We start from the raw sequence: 27,117 nt of genomic DNA, 5'->3' as shown, positions 1-27,117 counted from the left end.
CTGTGCTGACGCACTAGATAACCAATGACACTTGTGAAGATTAGGATCTAGGGCATATTCTAAGAGAGATAAAATATGCAACATTTAGTGAATGTTTGACTGATGAAGGGTTGCGTGCAAAGAAAACCACTGGTGTGTAAAAGGAGCAGGGAAAGCAGCCTCGCTTTTGATCTTTGACATGGAGGATGCAACAGAAAACGTGAGGCTGGAGAAAGCCTGGAGGTCAAAATTCAAAATGCTGACCTTGAAATTCTTCACATGTGGGCAGGGAATACCACGTGGAGGTGAATATAGTGTCCATAACACTCTATGTAATCCGTGCATGTGGGCATCCTTAAGAGTCTGTAAAGGGTTTGGCCTCACGTCTTGACACTCTGTTGCTACTGTGTGCCCTTGGGCAAATTCTTTAATCTTTGTAAATGGGATAATTTACATGTTTTTTCTGAAGACTGTCCGAAATTATGCAAGTAAACACAGAAACAAGACGGTACCCATCATGCAGTTAAGTGCCCAATATGCATTGTTGTATCAGTTTGCTGTGGCTGGAGAACAGCGTGTTCCAAAGGTGACCAGTAGGGAGAAATCAGAAATGTAGCTGGGTCCATTCTGATAACTGTGCTAAAGGATTTTTGATCCTGGTCTACGATAACACCCCCTTTACTTGACAGCTGAATTGGAACGGATTAAATCGGTTAGGGTAGTATCTCAGAGGGCTTTGCTGCAGATGAGCGAGTCCAGGCGGGCTGTCAAGCGAGCCTCAAGGGGCATCTGTGGGATGCCCAAACCGTGTCCCCAAGCCGAGGCCTTTTTACAGGTCCTCAATTCAGAATGAAAAATTAATTCCAACGGCTAATAGCACCCCACCACCACTTTAGGACGTTTCACCGTACCCATTTTGTCGTCACAGGGACCCTATGAAGCAGATAGTTTTATCTTCGTTATGCCGACGTGGAAGACTGCAACTTAGAACGGCTAAATGATTTAACTAAGGGCGCTTACCTAGGAAGAAGCGGGGGACATAATGCAAACGAGGGCCGTCCCACTCCAGAAGCCCTTTTCGCAGCATTTCTAGTACTGAGCAGTCAGAACGCCACTTTAATCAATGCGCCAGGAAACACTGGCATTCCCTTGGCGATAAAGTTCAGAAGCATGGGTAAAACTACAGTTTCGATGTATCCTCCCGAATCTATAGTCATACTCAAGTAGCTGCGTATTAAAACAGGCAAAGTAGAAACCCAACTTCCCTCCCTTTCTCTTCTGTTGGAGGTCCTGTGCTGAACCTCCAACAGGTTTGCTCTTCTCAGTTCCGCTGAAGGGCATCCTGCCTCTTCCCTCCCTGTCCCCAGGTCCCAATGACTGAAACGTCTCGGGGTGGGAACTTCTGTGACAGATCGTGGAGGACAGGGGGAGTCAACTCCAGCGCAGGCCTCCCCCGGCTGAAACTAGAAGATACCCAGTGAAATATACGAGTTTTGTTCCAAGGACTGCCCAAAAATGGTGCGGAGAGGAGCTCGGCAATCCCCACCTTTGTCGAACACGCTCCTCCAGGGGCGGCCTGCCTGAAGCAGAGCTCCAAAATTGGCAACCTAGGCCTCGCAGCCGCCTTTTTTTAGCCTACATTTCCCAAACCAGGGAAGAGGCGGGTGACTAAAAATGCAAATTGCAGCGGGGGTGTTAGCAGGCATGCCCGTGGGTGCGGGGCGTCGGGCGAAGGGAGACCCCGCGACCTTAGGCGCCCTCGCGGTGTTCACGGTAGGCGCAAAGCGCAGCAAGGGACACTCCCCAAAGCCGCACCCCGCCGGACGGCTGCCCCCGCTTCCGCCTCTCAGGCAGCGGTGGGACAAAGCGCGGCCTCTTTTCCGCCGGGGTTTAGGGAGGGAAGGCCGGATTAGGGCCCGCGCCTTCCGGCTGCATCCCTCTCGCGCCGCGCCGGCCGCACACAGGTGGTTTTCCGCTCGGGAGGGGCAGGCTTCGGCACTTTTATATAACAATAGAGCTCTGCGCGCCGGGAACGCGCCTCCCCGCCGCCGCGGCCCCCACCCGGCCACGCCTCCATCCGGCTTCCAATCCGTCCGCCCCGCGGCGCCTGGGCCGAGTGCTGCTCGCTGGCCTGGCCCGCACCTCCCCAAAGTTACCTGCTGGCTTTGCAGCGCGGTAGAGACGTTCCCCTCGACTCCTTGGGAGCGAGGAGCCAGGGGGGTCCCGGCAGGCACTCGTCCTTGCTCCCCCCACCCTCCCCAGATCTCTATGGACCCGGGAGTCCCTCGCTGAGCCCCGCACCCGTCCACTGCGTCGCGCACAGCCCCGTGCCCAAGCGGGGAGACGGGGACGGCGGGGCGGTGGCAGGGAGCGCAGCGCGCAGGCGCGGCTGGTGCTCCCCGGAGTGCCCGGCGCTGGACAAAGGGAGGAGGCGGCGGCAGGAGAGGGCTGGGGAGGCCCCCTCTGACATGCCTCCCTGCCAACTGTAACCAATCGTCGAGCCCCCCTGCCGAGCCCCCGCAGCCTGCAGGTCTTGCGGGAGGACTTCCTCACGCCTCGCCCATGGCGGGGACTGCTGGCCCGGCCCGGCGCGTCCCAGCACACCTCGCTCAGGCAGCCCCGCCAGACCGGCTCCCCCGTCAGAAGCCGAGCTCCTTGCCCAGAAATCATTAACCAGCGCGACCTCCCAGCAGGCGATGGTGGTGGTGGGGCGGGGGGAGAGATATAGATTCCCCCGAACAATGGCTTGTAACTCCCCACGCCGCCGGAGCGGAATACAGTAAAAGCACTGGACTGACCTAAGAGTTTGTTTCTGCACTCTACATTGTTTTAATGAAAATAAAATGTTATTTTAAGAAAAAAGGTTTTCTTCTGATTTTCTGCACAACCAGACGTTTGTTTGTTTGCTTTAAAATGTTTCAACAAAATCCTGGTTTGTTTCGAAATATGTTGGATTAGCATTTAACACCTCATCGGTCACTAAAGCCCAGTCAGTTCACCAGCCCCAACACAGCCTCGGCTAAAAGAACATCAGAGCAAACAGAGCTGGGCCTTTAAAAGTGGCAAACAAATGCCACACACCGCCTAAAGAAGGGGGGTTGGGGGAGGGGAGGGTTAAGGCGAACTTGGGTCCAAATGAGTTTGAAGGGAATACAAAGAACGAAAAGTCAGCACAAGTTTTCCTAAAGCTAGCTCGCGAACGCAAGCGTCGCGAACAAGGGCTTTTGTGCATGCTAATTGCGCCATTGGTGCGCAAAAGTTCCGACGCGAAGTGTGAACTCTCAACAGAAGGAAACATGAGACAACTGAAGTGCCCTGGTTTATGTGCCCTGCTCCTCCTCCGCTGCCGCCTCCCCTTCTTTCTCCTTCCTCCCGCCGAGCCCGCTGTTGCAGCTTGTTTGCACTGGGGCTTATCCGGAGCGGAAATTCCTTTCCGTTTTTGTGAATGACAAACTCATTAACAATTCATCAACACAACCTGTTCCAGCCGGCCCGTCCCCACGGCAACAGCCCCTTCCGCAGCACGCTCATTGGCTGGCCCGGAGAATGTATCCATTGAGACGCTCGCTGTTTGTATCCATTGAGGAGCTGCCTCGCGCAGGGGGTGTGCGAGGCTGAGTCCAAGAGATAGCAAATCGAGTCTTAAATAATCCGGGGAGAAAGACGCCCGGGTAGATTTGAGGTGCAGCCTTGGAGGGAGGGATTAGAAGCCGCTAGACTTTTTTTCCTCCCCTCTCAGTAGCACGGAGTCCGAATTAATTGGATTTCATTCACTGGGGAGGAACAAAAACTATCTGGGCAGCTTCATTGAGAGAGATTCATTGACACTAAGAGCCAGCGGCTGCAGCTGGGTGCAGAGAGAACCTCCGGCTTTACTTCTGTCTCGTCTGCCCCAACCGCTAGCCTCGGCTTGGGTAAGGCGAGGCGGAATTAAACCCCGCTCCGAGAGCGGCAGCTTCGCGCGCGGTGCGCTCGGCCTATGCCTGCCCCGAGGGGCGTCTGGTAGGCACCCCGCCCTCTCCCGCAGCTCGACCCCCATGATAGATACGCTCAGACCCGTGCCCTTCGCGTCGGAAATGGCGATCAGCAAGACGGTGGCGTGGCTCAACGAGCAGCTGGAGCTGGGCAACGAGCGGCTGCTGCTGATGGACTGCCGGCCGCAGGAGCTATACGAGTCGTCGCACATCGAGTCGGCCATCAACGTGGCCATCCCGGGCATCATGCTGCGGCGCCTGCAGAAGGGTAACCTGCCGGTGCGCGCGCTCTTCACGCGCGGCGAGGACCGGGACCGCTTCACCCGGCGCTGTGGCACCGACACAGTGGTGCTCTACGACGAGAGCAGCAGCGACTGGAACGAGAATACGGGCGGCGAGTCGGTGCTCGGGCTGCTGCTCAAGAAGCTCAAGGACGAGGGCTGCCGGGCGTTCTACCTGGAAGGTACGCGCCCAGGGAACTCCGCGCGCGGGGCAGGGCTAGGGGCGCAGGGCTGCGGGCGGGGCGCGTGGATTGAAAATACCTCTGCTCCGCTCAGCTGGAGCTTCGGAGCCGCGCTGCCCGCCTAGGGACCGGCAGCCGGCGAGGTAGGGGCCGCGAACCGCGCGTTCCGCACCAGAGAACCGGGCCGGCTCAGAATCCACTCGCTTCCGGCTGCGGGTACCGGCGGTTTCTTTCTAACGGGTTCTGCGCCTTCTTAGCCAGAACATCCTCCACCATCACCCTGTTTTCTATCGTTCGATTTTGAATTAAGATTTGCAGGACGGGAGAGATTGTTGGGGATGCAAATTGGCACATCTTAGCTCTCAAAATATTCCAAAAAGTTGCCATTTTGTCTATTTCCGGATTCAAGCGAATAAGGGTTCCCTGGCGAGGCGGGCCCGTTCGTTCCATTCCCGATGGTGCACATTTAAAGTGTGTTTCTCTTATAGATGGTTCTGTATGTAGGGGGTTCGTAGGATGCTTGTGGTGTTTCTTGCGCCGGGCTGCGGTTCTTACAAGCTGTGAAAACTACTACGGCTTCTCAGGTTAGATGATTGCTTTTCTCGTTCTGGCAGGTGGCTTCAGTAAGTTCCAAGCCGAGTTCTCCCTGCATTGCGAGACCAATCTAGACGGCTCGTGTAGCAGCAGCTCGCCGCCGTTGCCAGTGCTGGGGCTCGGGGGCCTGCGGATCAGCTCTGACTCTTCCTCGGACATCGAGTCTGACCTTGACCGAGACCCCAATAGTGCAACAGACTCGGATGGTAGTCCGCTGTCCAACAGCCAGCCTTCCTTCCCAGTGGAGATCTTGCCCTTCCTCTACTTGGGCTGTGCCAAAGACTCCACCAACTTGGACGTGTTGGAGGAATTCGGCATCAAGTACATCTTGAACGTCACCCCCAATTTGCCGAATCTCTTTGAGAACGCAGGAGAGTTTAAATACAAGCAAATCCCCATCTCGGATCACTGGAGCCAAAACCTGTCCCAGTTTTTCCCTGAGGCCATTTCTTTCATAGGTGAGACTAATTAATAGTCGTCGCTCTGACATTTAAATGCAAAATTCCTAGCCATTCATAGAGTTTAAGCTGTTAATCGTTCTTGCTGCTTGCTAATTTGTCTGACTGCAGGTCTCTAATGTTCCTAGAGCGTCCTTAATTCTGGTTTATCTTCTTGCTAAAGGAAGAAAACCTGCCTTTTGACATGGCTGCAGATCACAGGTGTATTTGAAACGCTGTTTCTTGAATCTTTGAATTCAGTCATTGACAGTCGTTCATAATCGGACAACAGATTTTTCCCCCCAGTCTTTGGACTCAGGGGAAGGGTCAGATAGAAGTACTCACTATAGACAGGAATTCCAGCATTGCTTTATAATTTAAAAACATCTAGGAGTTATTTTAGGACATCAAGTTAGTTGTTGGAAAGCAGTATGAATGCTGAATGTTATCCAGTTGAATGATGCGGTGATACTGGTAACAGTGAGACAGTGGGTAACCTGAGCCCAGCAGGAAGAACTGTGGGCTGGAAGCCTGGGAGAAGTGAATCTCCAGGCATTGTAATGCATTTCCTATTACAAAGGAACTCATTTTCAGGCCGTGTCGACATCCTGTTCCTCCTAATGGGCCGTCCCCTGTGACTTCCCTCTCTCTTTTAAAATGCCTGAATACCTCCATTGTTAGCTGCACAACATTTGGAGCATAATTTAATAGACCCTTGCAGTCTGGTTGTCTGTGTAAAAGGCATTCACGAACATATTGCAGGGTTTCTGGTATTCACATGCCGAGGCAAAGAATGCACCCATTAAGGAGTTTTTTGTTGGCAGAAACTTAATACAAAAGCTCTCTTTTCAGAAAATATCTGAAATATGTAATTGTGTCCAGTGTACATGTTTCATTTCAGTGATACATTTTCTGCTGCTTGTAGGGCTCAACTGCCACACACAACTATTATTATTATTATGTTTTCAAGTTCAGTTTTTAGACTGATCATTCACAAAGGGTGGTTTTCAGTCTGCTGAGATCTTGCTTTTCTTTTTGTGTTCACAGATGAAGCCCGGGGCAAGAACTGTGGTGTCTTGGTACATTGCTTGGCTGGCATTAGCCGCTCAGTCACTGTGACTGTGGCTTACCTTATGCAGAAGCTCAATCTGTCGATGAACGATGCCTATGACATTGTCAAAATGAAAAAATCCAACATATCCCCTAACTTCAACTTCATGGGTCAGCTGCTGGACTTCGAGAGGACGCTGGGACTCAGCAGCCCATGTGACAACAGGGTTCCAGCACAGCAGCTGTATTTTACCACCCCTTCCAACCAGAATGTATACCAGGTGGACTCTCTGCAATCTACGTGAAAGACCCCACACCCCTCCTTGCTGGAATGTGTCTGGCCCTTCAGCAGTTTCTCTTGGCAGCATCAGCTGGGCTGCTTTCTTTGTGTGTGGCCCCAGGTGTCAAAATGACACCAGCTGTCTGTACTAGACAAGGTTACCAAGTGCGGAATTGGTTAATACTAACAGAGAGATTTGCTCCATTCTCTTTGGAATAACAGGACATGCTGTATAGATACAGGCAGTAGGTTTGCTCTGTACCCATGTGTACAGCCTACCCATGCAGGGACTGGGATTCGAGGACTTCCAGGCGCATAGGGTAGAACCAAATGATAGGGTAGGAGCATGTGTTCTTTAGGGCCTTGTAAGGCTGTTTCCTTTTGCATCTGGAACTGACTATATAATTGTCTTCAATGAAGACTAATTCAATTTTGCATATAGAGGAGCCAAAGAGAGATTTCAGCTCTGTATTTGTGGTATCAGTTTGGAAAAAAAAATCTGATACTCCATTTGATTATTGTAAATATTTGATCTTGAATCACTTGACAGTGTTTGTTTGAATTGTGTTTGTTTTTTCCTTTGATGGGCTTAAAAGAAATTATCCAAAGGGAGAAAGAGCAGTATGCCACTTCTTAAAACAGAACAAAACAAAAAAAGAAAATTGTGCTCTTTTCTAATCCAAAGGGTATATTTGCAGCATGCTTGACTTTACCAATTCTGATGACATCTTTACGGACACTATTATCACTAAGACCTTGTTATGGCGAAGTCTTTAGTCTTTTTCATGTATTTTCCTCATGATTTTTTCTCTTTATGTAGTTTGACTATGCCTTACCTTTGTAAATATTTTTGCTTGTGTTGTCGCAAAGGGGATAATCTGGGAAAGACACCAAATCATGGGCTCACTTTAAAAAAAGAAAGAATAAAAAAACCTTCAGCTGTGCTAAACAGTATATTACCTCTGTATAAAATTCTTCAGGGAGTGTCACCTCAAATGCAATACTTTGGGTTGGTTTCTTTCCTTTAAAAAAATTTGTATAAAACTGGAAGTGTGTGTGTGTGAGCATGGGTACCCATTTGATAAGAGAAATGCATTTGATTGTGAAGAAGGGAGAGTTAAATTCTCCATTATGTTCGTGGTGTAAAGTTTAGAGCTGGAATTTATTATAAGAATGTAAAACCTTAAATTATTAATAAATAACTATTTTGGCTATTGAATGTGTGTTTTTAAAAACTCAGTTATACCTATGTGTGAAGTGACACATTTTAGAACTTTTTCATTCAGGGATTGATTTTGACTTGTAGGCATAGTAGGGCAAGGTTCTTTTAAGCTTTTCCTAGAACGTTTTTCAGCAGCAGTTTATGAAATTCATCGTTTGCCACGAATAAAGATGACATCCTAGAATGGACCGACTGTACCGTGTATATGAACAATACCTCTTATGAGTATAGTTCCGGCTTAAGATTTTAAAGCCCCTGAAGAAAAATGAACCTATAGAGCATAGCTTGCTGAGGAATACAATTTGGATATTAACCACAGAGAGGTGTAGCAGAATACCAAGATGACAGCCACATGTTAACCTCCTCCCTATCCTTCACTGTCAGGATCTTCTGCTTTATAATGCTGAGATAATGCCAAAGAGGAAGTAGGGATAATTCTTTTTCCAGTCTGTTGTCATGGGCAATTCTACCTGCAGATATCCTAGTGTGAGAATGCTGAATCCAGAATGATGTCTCCACTTTTTCCCCTAGCATGCGCATGGCAAGGCATATCTAAGCTTCCTCACCGTGTCAGGATATGGCTTTAGAATTTTACATTGGCACTTAGGAGGCAACTTTGTCATCCCTGTTGTAATGTGCTTTTTTGTTTAACTGGCTTGGGATGTGGGTCAGAAACCCTTATTGAAACTTGTGGGGATTATTTTAGTTTCTTTTCAAGCTAAAGACTTTATATCTTGCCATTTTTCTTGGGACCTACCCTCTCCTTACCTCAAATGTAAAAATACACAAACCAAAATAAAAGGCAGGTGTATGGAATCAAAAGAACTAGAACGTACTTATATTTGGGGCTCTTTTTGCATGAGCTCAGTCCCTTCATGTGAAGTGGGGAGAAGAATGAGCTTTTCACCTACATGGCACATGAGTTGACTGCTTGGTCGTCTACACTAACTTAGGAGGCAAGTGGCCTTCATTCGATGGCAATCATATAAAACTGTCCATGGTGATTTTTAAGCAACTAAGTATAAAAAGCAAACAGAAATAGTGCAAATATATATATATACCAAGTCAGTCTGTCCTATTTGGGTGTCCCAAGTCAGCAAGAGCACAGAAAGGAGAAGTGGATTGCAGTTCAACTTGGCTCGTGTTAATCCAGTTCTGAACGGTTTCCGCTCCTGGCATTCCCTAAACTGCCTGTTCAAAGTAAGGATTTGCAAGCAGCGTTAGCAATTTCCTGTCCAGCTGCAGCTCAAGTAGCTGGGTGCTTTTCCCCCCTTTCTTTTCTCTGATTTCTTTTCTCTTTCTTTTTCTTTCTTTCGTTTTTTAAAAAAATATGGGCTGTGGATAATTTTAGTGCATTTCCTCTTTGTGGATTATTATCTCTTTCCTCCTAGAACCTGCATACATTGAGTTCCTACTGCTTGGCTCAAGCCGACAGCTGGCCTCCCCAGCACTTCCTCTCGTTTTACTGTGGGTTTGTTGTTTGTCAGTCCACTTCTGAAATTAATAATGTTTTCTGGCTAAGTGCCACAAGCCATTACCACAAAGGGGAAGTAACACATATGAATAGCAGGAAGCCATGCAGGGTCACAGTGTGAGCTGAACCTGTGGAGGGAGCATAATTGAGCCTGGCCCATTCAGCAAGTGTCTGACTGCAATTTGGGGAGAGGGAGCTCGCTGCATCTAAGCAGCTCAAGCTGTGAAAAAAAAAAAAGTTTCCAATAAATTGGGAGCAAATGGTCTTTGTCACCAGTCTGAATAAAGGAGAGAGAGAGTATGAAGAGCTTAGAGCCTCCATAAAGTTGCAATGTTTGAGGTTTCTCCCCCTTCTCCTGACATATTGTTTCAGAAGGCTGGTGAACAGAGGGGTGCCTGTTTCCCTCTATTCTCACCAAAGGACTCATGTTAAATGGGTGGTTTTTACGGTTCACATAGGCCAGAAGATTCAAAGAGCTATTCTCTTTCCTTCTTTTTCTTCTGTGGAAGGTGGAAGGTTGTAACTGACAGCATGGGCCCCCACCTCTCTCTGTGCCTCCCTTTCTTCCAGCTATATCAGGGCTCCTCTGGTTCCTTTGTGCTTGCAGTAGCCGCGTGAAGGCGATCATTTTGCATCTTGGAGTTGGGCTGGCTTCCTGAATGGAGCCCGCACGGTTACTAGGGCAACCTTTGCCAGCAGCTGCAGTTCCACCGCCTCCTTCCTCACCTGCTGTCCCCATTAGTAGCTTCCTCAGGTCTCTGAGAAAGCGCTACCTTTCCTGGCCTTTTGCAGGGGCAGGGGGGTAGGGTGGGGTATGGCTTTTGGGAAGGGGAGGTTATCAGCAGGTTTCCTGGGAGCTGCAGGAGACAGAGATTGCAGTGGTTAATAGTATGAACTGGTCTTAGCGTTAAAATAGGAATGAAAAAGGGTTATCTGGGGATAAAAATACCAACACAGTCTTCAAAGGAATGAAAACTGAGACTTGCACCAACCTTGACAATTAGGAGACCTGAACTGTAGCTGCTGCTTTCTTGCTAATGAATCAGGTAGCCCTGGGCAGGGCACCCAATCTTACCGCATTTCTTTTTTCTTGTCTGTAAAAATGAGGGAGTTTTTACCTCCCATTCTAGGATTCTCTCATAATTCCAGCTTCTGTTCATGGATTGGTGACACTTATTACATGATAAAATGAGGTGCGGAGCAGGTGAAACAAATAACTAACATTTATCATGAGTACCAGATACTATACTTTGTATCTCATTTAATCTTCAAAACAGCTCTGTGAGATAGGTCCTATTATTATCTTTATTTTGCAAAGAGGAAACTGAGGCAGAGAAAGGCCAATAAAGCCTAAAGCCACCTTTATGGGACACCTGACACATAATGTTAGAGAAGGTTTGCATATCCAGTGCTTGTTACTGCAGAACTGAACCTTGAGCCTTTGGCTCTTCCTGTTGGAAACTGCTTGTCATCAGTATTTGCTCCCCTTTATAAAGTCTCATGATGTCGGCTAGGAAATGCTGTCCCCATTATACAGCTGAGGAAGTGGAGGAAGCAGAGGTTAAATGACTAGCCAAATTCCATGTGAATTCCACAGCCACATGGGAGGCCCCAGCTGGTGTGCTGTCAGAGAGGTGTCCACCGGGGGTAAACTTCCATCCTCCTTCTCCGCAGAGAAGTTGCTCTTCCTTGGTCCCATTGGCACTTAAATTATAAAACTACTTTTCCTAAGTATCTCTAAAATGGCTACCAGCTAGCATAGGGCCTGACCCTGACCCTTGCCCATACTCCCCTTTCAGGATGACACAACTAAACTGGCCCCAAAGAAGTTCACTTCCTCACTCTTATCCCTCCTAGAGGCAAACTGGGAGAGGGAGGTGGGTCAGGGGAAAGGGGAAGGGTGTGAAGAAGCAAGGAGGAGAGGCAGAAGACATATATATGGTGCAGGTCTACAGAAGAAGAGAGGTAAACTGACCAGCAAATTAGCAAATAATGGAGATGGGGGTTTTTAGGATACAGCCAGGGCAGATCATGTGGTAGCTGGCTGTAAGAAAATATCCTTGAAATGTCCTCTTAAAAAAAGTCAGTCTTCAGACTTTCAGCTGCTTCAGAAGGATTACTTTGGGTGTAAATTTATATGCAGTTCCTCACACAGCCATAATCGTTTTCGGAAAGATCCTGCAAGACTTTCAAATACCCTTGTTCCTCCCGTGTTCTCACTGCTCACTTAGCAATTGGCCCTGAATCAGTCCAGTTATGGTGAACGAATTTTCAAACTTCTTTAAAGTCCAAAATCGATTTCCTGAGAATATTGAAGGGCACAGAACAAAGTTCAAACAACTCACAAATATTTATCCAGGCCTTGGTGTGCATTGCACTGGTTCGATGAAACAAGTTAAAAATAAAAGGCAACGAAAGACCTCCCAGGAGCCCTCAGAGGCTGAAGGCAATGACCCGTTTCTAGATGGAACCGCTAAAGTGCCCAAATCAAAGAGGAGCCCTGAAGAAACTACCGGGCAAGGTCTTGTATTTCCCTATCTGCTTCCAACTAACATTTTAGATCCCACATTTTATTTTTTTATATAGGAAAGGATTAATGGCCCACATGTATGCAATTTGACCCACTCACTTTCTTACTTTGTCATGGAAAACACCACTAGAGAAGGCGTGCATATCTATTAGCCATCACTGATGTAATAAAAACATGTTAAACCACCATACCGTCAAACATGAACTCTCAGACACTCAAAGGAAAAGTGAGGAAATATCATTCACTTTTTGATAATGACATCCGAGAAAGCACGAAGCAAGTCTGGAAAAGGTTGCTAATTCTAAAGAATTCTGTTTCCTACTTTTGGGGAAAATCTAAGTATTTATCACGTTAAGTATTTTTCATTGGGTCCAGTTTAATTCCTACTGCAAACACGAACAGAAGGAGGAAAGAAAGAGCGGAAGGAGCAGCAGGGGATCTTCGGGTGTACCTGGCTCTCTGAAAAATTGTAGCAGGAATACCCTTTTATCTTATGTTCCATTTATTTATTGCTACATTACAAAGCGCCCCAAAACTTAGTGGCTTCAAATAACAGTCATTTATTTTGTTCCTAAGTCTGCATTTGGTCAGGGCTCAGCAGGGGAGGCTGGCCTCTGATCAGCGCAGTTTTGTCAGGGGCAGCTCAACTGCTGGCCAGAGGATTCATTTCTAAGATAGTTCACTCACTTTGCTGGTGAGTTGGTTTTGGCTTTGGCTGCCCACTGGGACCTCTGCCAGGGGCCGGGGCTGGGGACTTTGGTTCTCCATGTGGCCTAAATTTCCACATAGTATGGTGGCTGGGTTCCATGGGTGAAATCCCCAGAGAGAGAGAGAGAGAGAGAGGCTGGTGGAAACTATGTTGATTTTTATGACCTGCTCAGAGGTCACTTCTGCTGCATACAAAGTTTAAGGAGAAAGAACGTAAAAATCCATCTTTTAATGGAGGAGAGGAAAAATTCTGAAAAAGCACAAGAGATGGAAAATATTGTTGCAGTTGTTCTTGGAAAGTACAATGTGCCACATCTTGGTTGCGTGAATGTTGTTTCAATGTGGGACTGTGAGAGTAATAGTGAGTACCCACGGAGATAGATATGAAAGTGTTTAGCCATACTAATTTCTTGGTTCAATCTTGAAAACATTCAACAACTGCTATAATTGTTCCTTTATTCCTATTTTTTTCATCTGTTTCTAACGTTAACAGTAGAGTAATGCCGTCAAAACACTCTTTAAAGGCCGGGTGCGGTGGCTTACGCCTGTATTTCCAGCATTTTGGGAGGCTGAGGCGGGTGGATCACGAGGTCAAGAGATCGAGACCATCCTGGCCCACATGGTGAAACCCTGTCTCTACTAAAAATACAAAAATTAGCTGGGCGTGGTGGCGCACGCCTGTAGTCCCAGCTACTCCGGAGGCTAAGGCAGGAGAATCGCTTGAACCCGGGAGGCAGAGGTTGCAGTGAGCCGAGATCATGCCACTGCACTCCAGCCTGGTGACAGAGCGAGACTCCAGCTCAAACAAAGAAACAAAAAAATTTTTAGATTGACCCATAAAATAAAACAGTTTTTATAAAAGAATATTAATTTTTTTATTTTGTCAGAGAAAACATTATATTTGAGATTGAGTCGCCCAAGTTATTGAGTGTAGCTATGGTATACATTATTTTCATGCAAAATATAGTGTTTCATGTATTACATTATAGTAGGTAATCTTACATTGGTAGAATTTGGGTTTTTCCCCCTAATTTTGACTATTTTGAACAATACTGCTAAGAATACTTTTGTGCATGTATTCTAATGCTCATGTGTACACGTTTCCCGGTGGTTTGCAGAGGAGTGGAATAAGCATAGTTTGTGTAGAACCTCAATTTCAGACAATTAAAATCGTTTTTGAAGTGGATATTCCAACTTATATTCCCACTAATGATATTTAACTTTTCATACTCTCCCAAATTTTTTATAAACACTTGTTTTGTTTACACTTTTTAGTTTTCACCTATCTAGTAGATGTGAAATGGTAGTTTATTTTGATTCTAATTTCCATTATTCTGATTCCTAATGAGGTTGGATCCTTTTCTTGTGTTCATTGGCCATAAGATATTTTATTTTGTGAAGAGCCTGTTCAAATCTGTTGTCAAGTTTCAGTTGTGTTACTTCTATTTTTTTGTATTGATATCAGAGGTGCTTGGACACTCTAAATACTAGTCCTCTATTGAGTATATGCATTAAAAATATCAGTACAATGCTTTTCAAACTTTGTTCCTCAGGGAAGGACCAGGCTACATTTGGAGGCAGGATGTACACTGCACAGCTCTACAGGGTATCAGTCAGAAAGATAATGATACAAATGGCCATGCCCAACCTGTATAACCCTACATGGAGTTCTAGGAGACTCATGTGGGACTTGTGCCTAAACATATTTGAAATCCACTCATTGAATCCATTTAACAAATGTGGAAACAGAGTCAGAGAGATTAAGTTGAAAGAATAGATACTTTTGATTATCTCGATTGAAGTGGGGCTGGCCTAGAAGTGTTTTTGGTTATACTAAATCTTGAACTCAGTTTTGAAGAGGGGCTAGTTTTTCACATAGATGTGGAAAAGATGTGACAGTTGTGAGTAATGAATTACACCCAGCTTTGGAAGTAGTAAAAGACAAACTTCCTCGCAAGAGATGGCAACAATATTTTTCAAGATGTAAAACAGAGATAAAAAATCAAGATGCTTAGGGATATGAGAGATAAAATTTAAAGAGAAGTTGCAAAGTGCAGAAATAACTGTATTTTTTTTGTCTGCCTATCCTCCCTTCCCAGTTACTTGTAGTTGTGGAATTCTACAGTATCAGGGAGGACTAGGTTCAGAAGTCTACAACAGAGAATGAAAACTGAAAATTATCAAAACTCATGAGGGTTTATTCTCATCTATAAAAGCCAGGAGTGGGAAATTCAAGCCTGGTAGGACAATTTTATGAGATCATTTGAGATTCAGGCTTCTTCTGTCTTTGATCTTAAAGATCACAAGATAGAGATTCCCTGTCCAGTCATACATTCTGTCACCGAAAGAAGGAAAGAGAAAAAGAAAAAAGGTTTACTTCCTTGAGTCAATTCTCTTAAAGATGCCTGCTGGAAATCCTACAGCAGACTTGTACTCCATGTTCTTAATGGCTGGAATTAGCCACATGGCCATAGCTAGAGAGGCTGGGGATACAGACTTTCAGTTGGACACAAGCTTCCCCTAATATTAGTTTGGTGCAAAAGTAATTGTGTTTTTTGCCATTACAATCATTGCAAAAACTGCTATTACTTTTGTACCAATATAACTGAGGTTCTGTTTCTCAGGAAGTAGGGGGCACTGAATGTTAGTCATCTACCTTCTTCTTTTCTGGAGAAAACTCCATTCCCATCATAGGGAAGGGTATATAACCCAGCCCAGGCCAAAAAAGGCCTCATTTTCTGGTTTCAGTGATTGTTTCAGGGGTGGGACATGATTCCATTTCAGCCAATCAACTTATACCTTGGATTCATCTATGGAAAGGATTTTCTCTTAGAGTTGCTAAGCCCCGGACTTACTGATTCAGAATTTTTGGAAATGAAGCCTGGGAATCTGGTTTTTTATAAATGGCCCTCAGGTGATTCTTTTGATTGTCCTGTTTGGGAATTACCAGATCTGCCATGTGTAGTAAACCAACATTTAATCTAGCATCTCCTCTCTTAGGGCATTCAAAGAACAACAGCATTAAAGGGAGCTTGCTAGATGTCTTTCCAAAGATGGACATCAAAAGGCTGAGCATATAGTGTAGGTATAACTGCACCATAACTATCATGGGCTCACAACTATAGACTTTTAGAGTTATGATTTTTTTTCTAGTTTGTTACTTGCCCTATAAAGTAGCACTTGAAAATATAAATAGTCCTAAAAGCACTTTTTTAAAAATTTTACCAGGGCTTCTAGGTCTGCTTTGCTGGGATTTGGTGTCAGAATCTGTGTTCACTTAATCAGTACCCTTTGTGATTTTATCAACCTGATCCGCCAACTCTTATGTTTTGTCTTTCTAGGCTGAAGTGTTTTAAAGTCTCTTTGGTTTCTTTTCAAACCCTAATCATTTTAAGGGACCTCCTTTAAGTAAGTTCCAGTTTCATTATGCCATTTTTCAGGTTTGATGGCTGGAACTATACTCAGTATTTCTGGAGCCAATGAATTCTGGTGTCTCTCTGTGTATATGTGTGTGCGTGTGTGCAAACGCTCATAAGATTGTGCTTTCTATTTTGTTTTTGACATCCTTCCTGATGATGCTTGCTTTTGTGACTGCCACAATACATTGGACCGACCCCTTCAGGGAATGGTCGGCAATGATGCCATCATCCTTTTCCTGGATCACGTCTGCACTCGGAGTCCTTGGTCTTCTAAGCACGAGGTGCGTTCTCTTTTCCTGCAGCTATTCCTGTGCAACCAACTGCACTGAGCACGGCTATTTACTGGCTACTCACACATCTCTGCAAGACCTTCCTGACGTTTATTATTGTCATGATGATGTTTGAATTCTCAAAAAATCTCTGTGTCATCTATTGATTTGAATTTTCACTTTATTGATGTTTAAACCACTTTTGAAAAATGATAGGCATACATACATACAGATTCATGAAATACACATTTTTAATATATCCTCCAGCAGAATAGTGATTACTTCTTTAATATGCCCTTATAATATCCATCAGCAGCCCACAATAATAGAATCTGATTGACAAAACAGTGAGCTTCATATTAAAATATAGCTTTACGATAATTTCAAAATTCCTTATCCCCCTCCCCCAATTTCAATGAGATTGTTATTCCCAAACCCTTCCTATAAGGATATTTTGGAATTGCCACTGATCTCTATCCAAGGTTTCACATTTTTGAGTCCCTTCTAACTCTTTGACAGAAGCAATTCAGGTTTAAAACTTTTAAAATGAGAAATGCTGGCTGAGTGGACCATAAATTATGCCCATGGTTTGATGAGGCTATCTCTGTTCTGATCCTATTTTCAGCTGAGGAGTGATGGTTACAAGCTCAGTCAGTGGGTTCAGTTTTCCCAGATGTGAACCCAGATCTGTCACTTGTTAGCCATGTGACCTTGCCTAGTCTGTGTAGATCCTCAATTTCAGACAAGTCTCTCTGAGCCTTGGTTTCTTCACCTGTGCAATGAGAATAATAATAACACTTAGCTGATGGAGTTGGGAGGATTCAATGAGAAAATTGACGTAAAGCACCTAGAAAAATGCAAATAAATTGTAATTGATGAGGCTCTGGGGAATGGAATTATGTATGCCACTATTCATTTATTAATTCAACAAGGCATAGACAACCTATTATATTCAGGGAATGTTCTGAGTGCCATAAAGAGATAAATTAGACACAAATTTGACCTTTCAGCCTTGAAATGAAAACAGCCTTGAACATAAATCATTATAAGATATAAAGTAACAAGTAGCATAAAGAACATAGTCTCTGGATTTAGACTCTTGCAGGTTCAAATATAAGCTTCATCACTAGCTACCTGTGTAACCTTAGGCCAGGTGCTTAATCTTAGTAAGTTTCCCATCTGTTAAAAAATGGAAATAATAATGGTATTTACCTCACACTGTTGTTATCCGGATTAAATGAGAAAATGCACGTAAAATGCTCAGCACTTCGACTGTCACATAATGTGTAACATAAACTGCTTTCATAAGTAAGATCCAGAAGTACTGCAAAAATTTAGTGGAGCAGGGGATTTTATTTTTCTTTTGTTTATATCCATTTGTGGAAGGGAAAGGTCATGGAAGACTTCTTGCAAGAGACTGATAAATCATAAAGCCAATCTATTATTTTTGTTTGTTTGTTTTTTTGAGACAGAGTCTCACCCTGTCACCCAGGTTGGTGTGCAGTGGTGCAATCTCAGCTCACAGCAGCTGCTGCCTCTTGGGTTTAATCGATTATCGTGCCTCAGCCTCCTGAATAGCTGGAATTACAGGCATGCACCACCATGCATGGCTAATTTTTCTATTTTTAGTAGAGACAGGGTTCTGCCATGTTGGCCAGGCTAGTCTCCAACTCTTTTTTTTTTTTTTTTTTTTTTTTTTTTTTTTTGAGACGGAGTCTCGCTGTGTCTCCCAGGTTGGAGTGCAGTGGCGCGATCTCGGCTCACTGCAAGCTCCGCCTCCCAGGTTCATGCCATTCTTCTGCCTCAGCCTCCCAAGTAGCTGGGACTACAGGCGCCCGCCAACACGCCCGGCTAATTTTTTGTATTTTTAGTAGAAACGGGGTTTCACCGTTTTAGCCAAGATGGTCTCGATCTCCTGACCTCGTGATCCGCCCGTCTCGGCCTCCCAAAGTGCTAGGATTACAGGCGTGAGCCACCGCGCCCGGCCTAGTCTCCAACTCTTGACTTCAAGTGATCTGCCCACCTTGGCCTCCCAAAGTGCTGGGATTACAGACATGAGCCACCATGCCTGGTGCAATTTATGAATTTAAAAAAGAATACATTGTGCTGTTTGCCATCAGGCTGGCTCAACTATCCTACGAGGTAGGTTTTGTAGGGATATTAAATTTCCATCCTTTAGATGCTTAAACAGAAACTCAGAGAGTTTAAATTAAGTAACTTGCTGAAGGTTCCCCAGGTACTTGATGAAGCTGGTATTTGCTCACAGGGATGTTTGACTTGAAAGCCCAGCTGCTGCTTTTTTTTTTTTTTTTTTTTGACAGAGTCTGGCTCTGTTGCCCAGGCTGGAATGCAGTGGTGTAATCTCGGCTCATTGCAACCTCTGCCTCCCAGGTTCAAGCAGTTCTCCTGCCTCAGCTTCCTGAGTAGCTGGGATTACAGGCGGCCACCACTGCACCCAGCTAATTTTTGTATTTTTTTAGTAGAGACAGGGTTTCACCACGTTGGCCAGGCTGGTCTCAAACTCCTGACCTCAGGTGATCCACCCACCTCGGCCTCCCAAAGTGCTGGGATTACAGGTGTGAGCCATTGTGCCTGGCCAAAAGCCCAGCTTTTTAACATCTGCTTTATACTCTTCTCATGGTATATTGCTCATGGTACAGACTACTCTCTTCCCAGGGTGAGAATAGAGTTGAATTTGCGATCACAACATTGCTGATGAGGCCGGAATCAAAATCAAAGGAGTTTGTGCCATACTTCATCTAAGTTATATAAAGGTCAAGAGAAATATTCCTGCTCTGCGGTAAAACAAACAAAACAGACAAAACCACATCTTTTAAGTTACTGGAAGGTTAAGTTCGATTGAATGATGCTGGATACCTCTGATAGATTTTTATCCTTTGGCTCTCTTGTCCTTGTCTGTTTTCTGGAACTCCAATACCCTCCACACCGGCCATTAAGCTGTGGCTAATGAAAACACAAATTAGTTACATTGCTTACAGGTTAGAGTCTTTGCGCTACTCTAATCCCTTGATGAGAGATGGGAAACACCCTGGTTTTATCAACAGCAGATTGACAGATGGTTTTCTAATGGTCAAAATGGCATCTACATTTATGGAGCCCTTCCTTTGTGCCAGGCTGGAAGCTGTGTGCAGATGATCTCATCTCATCTTTAGTACCCTCTTGCGAGGTAAGGTTACTGTCACACAGTGGTTAAGCACAAGGGCTCTGGAGCTTGATGGCTAGGTGCAAATTCTGGCTCCATCACTTACTAGCTGTCTGACGCTAAGCAAGTTGGCTAACCTCTCTGTGCCTTAGTTTCCTTATCTGTAAAATAAAAATAAAAAAAAAAAGACATGGTCAGAAGTAACTGAATTAATACACTCAGTATGATTAGAACAGGGCCTTGATTGTTGTAAGTAATTAATACATGTTAGCTCTGTCGGGGAGGGAAACTTTTTCCTCTATCCTCTTAGGTTTAACTTTTGGAGGCTTGAAAATTAAACTCACAAAAGATAGATTAGCAAGAGAAAACATGTATTTTTATTCACATAAGTACTTGGGAATTTACCAAAAAGTATGACTCAAGGAGGTGCTTAGAATTGGGTGAAGGAGAGGGTGAAGGAATAGGTGAAGGAGGAGAGAGGGAGAAGATTACTTATAGGAAAACAAATGACTTGTAGGAAAGATAAATAGGCCTGTAGGAGAATAGATGGGAGATACTATCATTTTGTGACAATGCCTGTTTAGGTGATTTCAATCTTTCCTGGTTACAAAACTCCTGGGAGGGGAGTTTTAACAGTTGAATTCTTTTAGGAGGCTCTGCTTTTAAGCAGATAACGAATGTTTAGAAGAAAACTCTTCACAGTGTTATATTCTGGATTCTTTCAGCTCTTATTATCTCCATTTTGTAGATGGGAAAATGGAGGCTTAGAGTGATTAATTATCTAGGATCTCCAAGTGGTAAACAGTAGCGCTGAGATTTGAAACCGGGCTGGGCTGACCTCAGAGCCTTTGATCTTTCCGCTAAGAGGTCTCAAAAGGAGAAACTCTAATCTTATCTGAAAATTCTAGGAGCATATAAATTCTTTGGGATAAATTTAACATACTGGATCTCAGCATCATCATTTGCAAAATGAGAGCATTGAACAATATGAATTTTAGTGGCCTTTCCATCTCCAAAGACATTCCTTGTTTTGGGAGTTTTAATCACAATTATTAGAGAAGAAGTAATGGTCACATATCAAAGAATGTACTAGAGGAGATATTGCAATGTGTGTGTGTGTGTGTGTGTGTGTACACCCACGTCCATGTGTGTACACCTGCATATGTGTTTCAATTGCTCTGAAAAGACTGATTGTCTTAGGAAGGAAAGGGACCATCCTAAGATGTAGATACTTTAGTTATTTATTTCCACTGTATATGCTGTTGACCTAGGATTCTGCACGTCCTCAGGGAGTGTCTCTTCCAGGCCTTTTCCAAAAGGTGATTGGCAAGGGAAGTTCTTCTAAAAGAGATAAGTGGCTTCTAAAAGTAAACTCAGAATAAATGGAGTACAAATTCTGTTTACGAAATATTTCCTGGTTGATGGCCACTAACGTGCAGCCCTGCATGACATGTTCTTTGAGGAATGAAAGAAGTGAAGTTGAATTCTGTTTCTCCATCATTTGGGAAAGATATTTACGAAGCCGTCCTGAGTAGAAGATTGCATCATTTCAGAGCAGAAACTCAAAACTATAGTAATGGATGCTACAGTGTGGGAGATGTGTTTACTTTGGAGACCATTGAGAGATGTGAGAGGCTTTTGAAAACTCATAACAAAATTTGTTCAGTACATTCTTTGTGATATGTTAAATTTGCAGAATTCTTTGCACGGCCACATGCAATTTCTGTGAAGTTCACTTCCTCTATGCCAAATATCCCTTTGCATTTTGTGTGGTTGAGCTTCAGAATTGTGGGGTTTTGCTGATGGTGGTTATTCTTAACAAAGTCTTTCCCTCACTCCTTGGAGGACAGATAGGAAAGGTACATGCATGAGCTAGTTGAGTCAAACATTTTCCAATTCTTCTGTTCCTCTTCTTTCTTTTCAAAACATGTATATATTTTTAAATATTTCATTTTTAGATGTTGAGTCTTAGTGATACTAATCTAGTACCATGATTCTTGTATTGATTCTGAATTTTCAAGATGATTTCTTCAGCCTAAAGATAGACCAATTTAAAGTCTAACTGTCTGATGAGGTGAAACCTATAATTATACAAAAAAAACAAAAAACAAAACAAAACAAAAAAAACGGGTGGGGGTGGTTACATGGGAAGAAAAGTGAAAGATTACTAGCTGACACCCAAAGACATAACCTAGCTTTTTCCCCCACCTGAGAAAAAGAAATAAATAAAAGCTAACCAAACAAAATATAAGGAGAACTGTAAATAAATAAATCACCATTGTCCCTGAGAACCTGCCTGCATGGGAAGGAGAGGTGGGCTATAGCCCATAAGGACCAGAGAAACAAGAAAGGAAGTGGGTGAGATTGCTACATGAGTAAGGTTCTGAGGAGTCATTAAAGCAAAAGGGAAACTAAATCCCACTGATGTGTAGATTCAAGGCTCCGAGAGGCCCTAAAAAGTGGGTGGAACTCCCAGGTCATCAGGAGGTCACAAAAGGACAGAGGAAGCTCAGGCAGCCTGGAGTCATGCTTTCTAAGGGAAACTAGAGTTAAGCCAGTTCTTTGACTTGGCTTAAGAAGTGTGCGTAAATCAACCTGTAGGGACGGGTGGGGAGAAGTGAGGTTTTAAAAAAATGTTTTGAAGCCTATTCCTTAATTTGAAGTGATAATCAGCATTTTTAGGTTGTTTTTTTTTTTTTATTTTAGGTGCACTGGAGATTTGTTTTGGTGGGAAGAAGGAATTCCTTCCTTCCTTCCTGCCTTCCTTCCTGCCTTCCTTCCTTCCTTCCTTCCTGCCTTCCTTCCTGCCTTCCTTCCTCTCTCTTTCTCACTTTCTTTCTTTCTTTTCTTTTCTTTTCTTTTTTTTTTTCAAGGTCTCCATATGTCACCTAGCTTGGAGGGCAGTGGCGTGAACATGGCTCACTGCAGCCTTGACTTCCCAGGCTCAACTGATCTTCCTTCCTGAGCCCCCTAAGTAGTCAGGACAACAGGTGCATGCCACCACGCCTGGCTGTATTTTTTGTTGAAATGGGGTTTCGCCGTGTTGCCCAGGCTGGTCTTGAGCTCCTGAGCTCCAGTGATTCGTCTGCCTCAGCCTCCCAAGTGTTGGGATTACAGGTGTGAGCCACTGTGCCTGGTCAGACTGAGCGAATTTCTTGACATGTGCCTAAATAAATTAATTTTATCTCTTTCTTTCCTAAGGTCACTCTTCCCTTTAGAACCCAGGACTTGGATTCATACGCAAGAAAACTTTCACAGAACCTACTTTTTGGGTCTGGGAGTAAGGCTGAATTGGGTGTATATTTCAGCTTCACCACTAAAGCACAAGCTATTGCCAAGACCTAGGCAAGACCAAGTGGCAACAATGTTAGTGGTGGTGCTGCCTAAACGTCAGGATTGTCAGGAGACCAATGGCTGTGAAATGCTTGGCATGGACATTGGCATATACCATAGTAACTGACTGATTCTGAGCAAGCCCCTCATCTCTCTTGACCTCAGTTTTCTCTTCTGTGAAAGAACCATAATGCTATTTTTTTCAGGGTTATTGTACACTTTAAATGTGATGATGTGTTTACTACCGTTCTTGACAAATTTTTCTTCAAGTCTTAGCTCAAAAGTCACCTCTTCTCAGAAGCTTTCTGAATTCTTTGAAAAGATTAGGAGTTGATTTAACATGGTCCCAAGGCAATTTGTCTTTGTTGCCATTGTATAGTTTCTCATATTCTATTATAGATGTTGGCTCAACTCTGTGCCTTCATCTTTGTGGCTTAGTGTCTTTTCATGTAGCATAGTTGTTAAAAACTAGGCTTTCAGATAGGTTGGACATTTTTGCTTAACAATACCCTGTGATGCTGAGCTAGTTACTTTTCTTCTCTGAAACTCAGTTTTCTCAACTATAAAATAGGAGCAGTAATACCTAGCTCATAAATACTAACGTTGACCTATCACCTAGGATGGTGCCTGGCACTACAATAATTATCTGTAGAATGCATGAACAAATAGAAGCACTGTGCATATTAATGAAATGCATATGGAAAGCTCAGTGCCCTGTACTTGGTAGACTCTTTTTCTTTCTTTTTTTTTTGTAGGGGGAGGGGGCAGGGTCTCACTCTGTCGCCCAGGTTGGAGTGCAGTGGGGTGATCTCAGCTCATTGCAGCCTTGACCTCCCAGGTTCCAGTGATCCTCCCACCTCAGCCTCCTGAGTAGCTGGGACCACAAGTACGTGCCACCATGACTGGCTAACTTTTGTATTTATTGTGGAAGCAGTGTCTCACAATGTTGTCCAGGCTGGTCTCAAGCTCCAGGGCTCAAGCAATACTCTCGCCTCGGCCTCCAAAGGGCTGGGATTACAGGCGTGAGCCACCATGCCCGGCTTCTAGACTCTTAATAAGTCACTGCATATCATTAGATAGGTAATGTATACAATCATCCCTCAGTATACTTCGGGGATTGGTTCCAGGACTCCCCTCAGATAGTTCCCTCAAAAATTGGAGATGCTCAAGTCCCTTATATAAAATGGAGTAGTATTTGCATATAACCTATCCACATCCGCCCGTATACTTTAAATTATCTCTAGATTACTAATTATACCTAATACAATGTAAATGCTATATAAATAGTTGTTATGGTGTATTTTTAATCTTTCTTTTTCTCTTTTCTTTCTTTCTTTTTCTTTTTAAGACAGCCTCCACCCCCCTAGGCTCAGGCGATCCTCCCATCTCACCCTACTGAGTAGCTGGGACTCCAGACACATGCAACCACACCAGGCTAATTTTTGTATTTTTTGTAGAGACAAGATTTTGCCATGCTGCCCAGGCTGGTCTGGAACTCCTGGGCCCAATTGTTCCATCCACCTTGGCCTCCCAAAGTGCTGGGATTAGAGGCATGAGCTACTGCGCCTGGCTATTTTTAATCTTTTTTTACTGAATATATTTGATTCAAGATTGGTTGAATCTATGGATGAGAAATTTCAGAATATGGATGGCCTACTGTACTTGCTTATTTTCTGGGGTACGAATGGTATATGTCTTATATCATTTCTTTTAGGGTTTTGCCTAAAAGAAACAAGCAAATAAACAAATGTTTGCTAAATAAACATTTGTTTCTCACCCAGAGATAGGAAGAAAGTCTTTAGGAATCTGATATGCTAAATGCACTTAGAATTACAGAACTTTTTGGAGAAAGAGATCTTAAAGCTCTTCTGAACCCTTTTCTTATGCTAATTTTGTTTGTTTGTTTGTTTTCTTATCATTTCTTTGGTTTCTGCTCTTATTTGAACATTTCCTTCCTTCTACTTTGGATTTACTTTGCTCTTTTTCTAGCTTGTAATGTGGGAAGCTCACATACTTAATTTTAGACCTTTCTTTCTTTTCTTTTTTTTTTTTTAAGATAAGCATTCAAAGCTATAAATTTCCCTTTAATCACTGCTTTAGCTGCATCCACAAAGTTTGATGTTATAGTTTCATTATTATTCAGCTAAAAATATTTTCTAATTTTCCTTGTAACTTCTTCTTGGTCCTTTGGATTATTGAGAATTGTACTATTTGATTTCTAAACATTTAGAACTTTTCTAGACATTTAATTATTGATTTCCAATCTACCTTCATGGTGGCTATGAGCAAACTCTGTGTAATTTCAATACTTCTAAATAACTGAGACTTGTTTTATGGTGTATCATATGGTTTATCTTAGTGAACATATCATGGGCACTTGAAAAGAATATGTATTCTGCAGTTGTTGGGTATATTGTTCTATAAATGTCAACTAGTTGTAATTAGTTGACAGTGTTTAGATCTTCCATATTTTTACTGACATCTTGTCTAGTTGGTCTATTAATTGCAAAGAGGGGATGTTTAAATCTATGACTTCTATTGCTGAATTGTCTGTCTTTCCCTTTAATTTCACCAAGCTTTGTTTTGTATATTTTGAAACTGTATTATTAGTTATATACTCTCAAATTTTAAAAATTTTGTAGATGAGAAAGATTAAATTTTGCAACATGCTTTAAAAAAATTTGTTTGGGTCATTATAAATGTGTAGAGGCTTAAGTTACACAATTCATACCATGCCTACATTTATAAAATGTTTTTTAAAAGTACTCTTATATCACGCCTGTAATCCCAGCACTTTGGAAGGCCGAGGTGGGTGAGTAGCTGGGACTCCAGACACATAATCAGGAGATCTCCAGGTCCAGATCAGGAGATAGAGACCACCCTGGCCAACATAGTGAAACCCCATCTCTACTAAAAGTACAAAAATTAGCTGGGTGTGGTGGTGTGTGGCTGTAATCCCAGCTACTTGGGAGGCTGAAGCAGGAGAATCCCTTGAACCCAGGAGGCGGAGATTGCAGTGAGCCGAGGTTGTGCCACTGCACTCCAGCCTGGCGACAGAGTGAGACTCCGTCTAAAAAAAAAAAAAAAATGCCCTCTTATAATCTTCCTTCCAGAGATAACCACTCAAAAGTTTGACAAAGCATATTTAGGATTTAAAAAATGCTTACATAAATATATAGAAACATATATTTTTATATTTTTACATAAGCAGGATTATATTCATATGTTTTTCTGCAACAAATTTTTTTTCCCACAAACTTTAACAATTTATGGAATGTCTTTCCATTTAACTGAGCATAGCTTTACCTCATCTTTAAAAACAACTTTATTACATCGTTTTCTATTGTATGAATGTCTAATAATTTATATAATCAACTTCCTATTTTAGAATATTTAGCTTCTTTGCAGTCATTTACTATGATCAGCAATAGTATCATGTAAGTTATTGATTTTGCCTCATTAATTATTTCCTTTCAATAATTCCTGAAAGTGGAATGACTGCATCAACAGCCTCCCACATTTTACACTGATCCCTATTGCTTGATTGCCCTCTTTCAGACTCGCTACCCTCATCTCACTGGACATGGCTACTATTTTTATTCTTTCTCCATCAGTAGGGTAGCACTCGTTTTAAAAGCTAGCCATCTCTGCACCATATTAGAAGTTCATGCAATGTCAGGTCCAAGTTTTTAATGGCAAAAATGTTGAAAATATGCAAAGTAGGGGGAAGAGGAGGACATGATAAGCTTTCCACCTCTAACTCTTGATTCTCCTTGATCTCATGATATGGAAATAGAAGAGACAATTCATGTAGAAGAGAAAAATCAAAGTTTATTAGAGATGTGTGGGATACGTAAATTGGATCTAGAGCATTTTAACTTGAGGTCTCTGTTTTCTTCAACCCATTGCTATCAAGAAAATGACTCCCATCCCCATTTAGTACTCTAAATTTAGAAGAAACATTGTAGAAGACAATATCCCATAGAGGGATACCCAGGGCAGGATGTTATGGGAATAGGATGGCTGTTTATTAAGCACCTGCTCTCTGTATTCCAGATGCTTTTACTTACATTATCTCATATCTCCCACATCGACCCTGTGGGTTAGGTAGTGGTGTTAATCATTATTTTAGCCTTACAGAGGAGAAACCCTAAGCTCTTAAAGGGCAAGCACACTCCCTTAGAAGTGGCGGAACTTGTATTTTGTGTGTGTGTGTTTGCAC

General features: G+C 43.4%; 2 protein-coding genes across 8 annotated transcripts in view, besides 5 other annotated features; both read left to right on the top strand.

The window, feature by feature from the left end:
• Positions 1 to 7,991, top strand: part of POC1B-DUSP6 (POC1B-DUSP6 readthrough) — a 177,983-nt gene extending 169,992 nt beyond the window's left edge. For 3 of the 6 annotated variants that reach the window (NR_189588.1, NR_189589.1, NR_189587.1), the window contains 2 exons: positions 5,031 to 5,468; positions 6,495 to 7,991. Coding sequence is in view for 3 of the 6 variants with exons in the window: in NM_001425796.1 (NP_001412725.1) it covers positions 6,495 to 6,566 (72 nt within the window). In the remaining 3 variants the exon portion in view is untranslated. The remainder of the gene's footprint in view (positions 1 to 5,030; positions 5,469 to 6,494) is intronic. The other 3 variants (NM_001425796.1, NM_001425795.1, NM_001425794.1) reach the window with 1 other exon arrangement.
• Positions 1,330 to 1,379: an enhancer, noted in NCBI's record as "active region_6706". NCBI's record gives its function as "activates an Ori minimal core promoter by ATAC-STARR-seq in GM12878 lymphoblastoid cells {active_cell/tissue: GM12878}" and the evidence as "EXISTENCE:reporter gene assay evidence [ECO:0000049][PMID:35858748]".
• Positions 2,300 to 2,609: a silencer, noted in NCBI's record as "silent region_4691". NCBI's record gives its function as "represses an Ori minimal core promoter by ATAC-STARR-seq in GM12878 lymphoblastoid cells {active_cell/tissue: GM12878}" and the evidence as "EXISTENCE:reporter gene assay evidence [ECO:0000049][PMID:35858748]".
• Positions 3,555 to 8,821, top strand: DUSP6 (dual specificity phosphatase 6). Of its 2 annotated transcripts, NM_001946.4 has the most exons (3): positions 3,555 to 4,416; positions 5,031 to 5,468; positions 6,495 to 8,821. In NM_001946.4, exons 1-3 carry the CDS (start codon positions 4,017 to 4,019, stop codon positions 6,800 to 6,802), a joined length of 1,146 nt encoding a protein of 381 aa, NP_001937.2. In that variant the 5' UTR covers positions 3,555 to 4,016; the 3' UTR covers positions 6,803 to 8,821. The 2 variants fall into 2 exon arrangements, with proteins under 2 accessions (NP_001937.2, NP_073143.2); NM_022652.4 differs by lacking the exon at positions 5,031 to 5,468.
• Positions 4,429 to 5,063: an enhancer, noted in NCBI's record as "NANOG-H3K27ac-H3K4me1 hESC enhancer chr12:89744770-89745404 (GRCh37/hg19 assembly coordinates)". NCBI's record gives its function as "activates a minimal SCP1, AML or CMV promoter by ChIP-STARR-seq in naive H9 embryonic stem cells {active_cell/tissue: H9 hESC(naive)}" and the evidence as "EXISTENCE:reporter gene assay evidence [ECO:0000049][PMID:30033119]".
• Positions 5,699 to 6,333: an enhancer, noted in NCBI's record as "OCT4-NANOG hESC enhancer chr12:89743500-89744134 (GRCh37/hg19 assembly coordinates)". NCBI's record gives its function as "activates a minimal SCP1, AML or CMV promoter by ChIP-STARR-seq in naive and primed H9 embryonic stem cells {active_cell/tissue: H9 hESC(naive and primed)}" and the evidence as "EXISTENCE:reporter gene assay evidence [ECO:0000049][PMID:30033119]".
• Positions 9,704 to 9,883: an enhancer, noted in NCBI's record as "active region_6705". NCBI's record gives its function as "activates an Ori minimal core promoter by ATAC-STARR-seq in GM12878 lymphoblastoid cells {active_cell/tissue: GM12878}" and the evidence as "EXISTENCE:reporter gene assay evidence [ECO:0000049][PMID:35858748]".

This window comes from Homo sapiens, chromosome 12 (genome assembly GCF_000001405.40).
Source record: "Homo sapiens chromosome 12, GRCh38.p14 Primary Assembly".
Lineage (NCBI taxonomy): Eukaryota > Metazoa > Chordata > Mammalia > Primates > Hominidae > Homo > Homo sapiens.
Note: the sequence above shows the minus strand (reverse complement) of the source record. Positions and strands in the feature narration are given on the sequence as shown.

What these genes read in the sequence shown, in the direction of transcription:
- DUSP6 (NM_001946.4), top strand. Translation starts at nt 4,017, where the DNA reads ATGATAGATACGCTCAGACCCGTGCCCTTCGCGTCGGAAATGGCGATC. An exon ending in CCGGGCGTTCTACCTGGAAG is followed by an intron (nt 4,417 to 5,030) that starts GTACGCGCCCAG and finishes TCGTTCTGGCAG; the next exon opens with GTGGCTTCAGTAAGTTCCAA. An exon ending in TGAGGCCATTTCTTTCATAG is followed by an intron (nt 5,469 to 6,494) that starts GTGAGACTAATT and finishes TTGTGTTCACAG; the next exon opens with ATGAAGCCCGGGGCAAGAAC.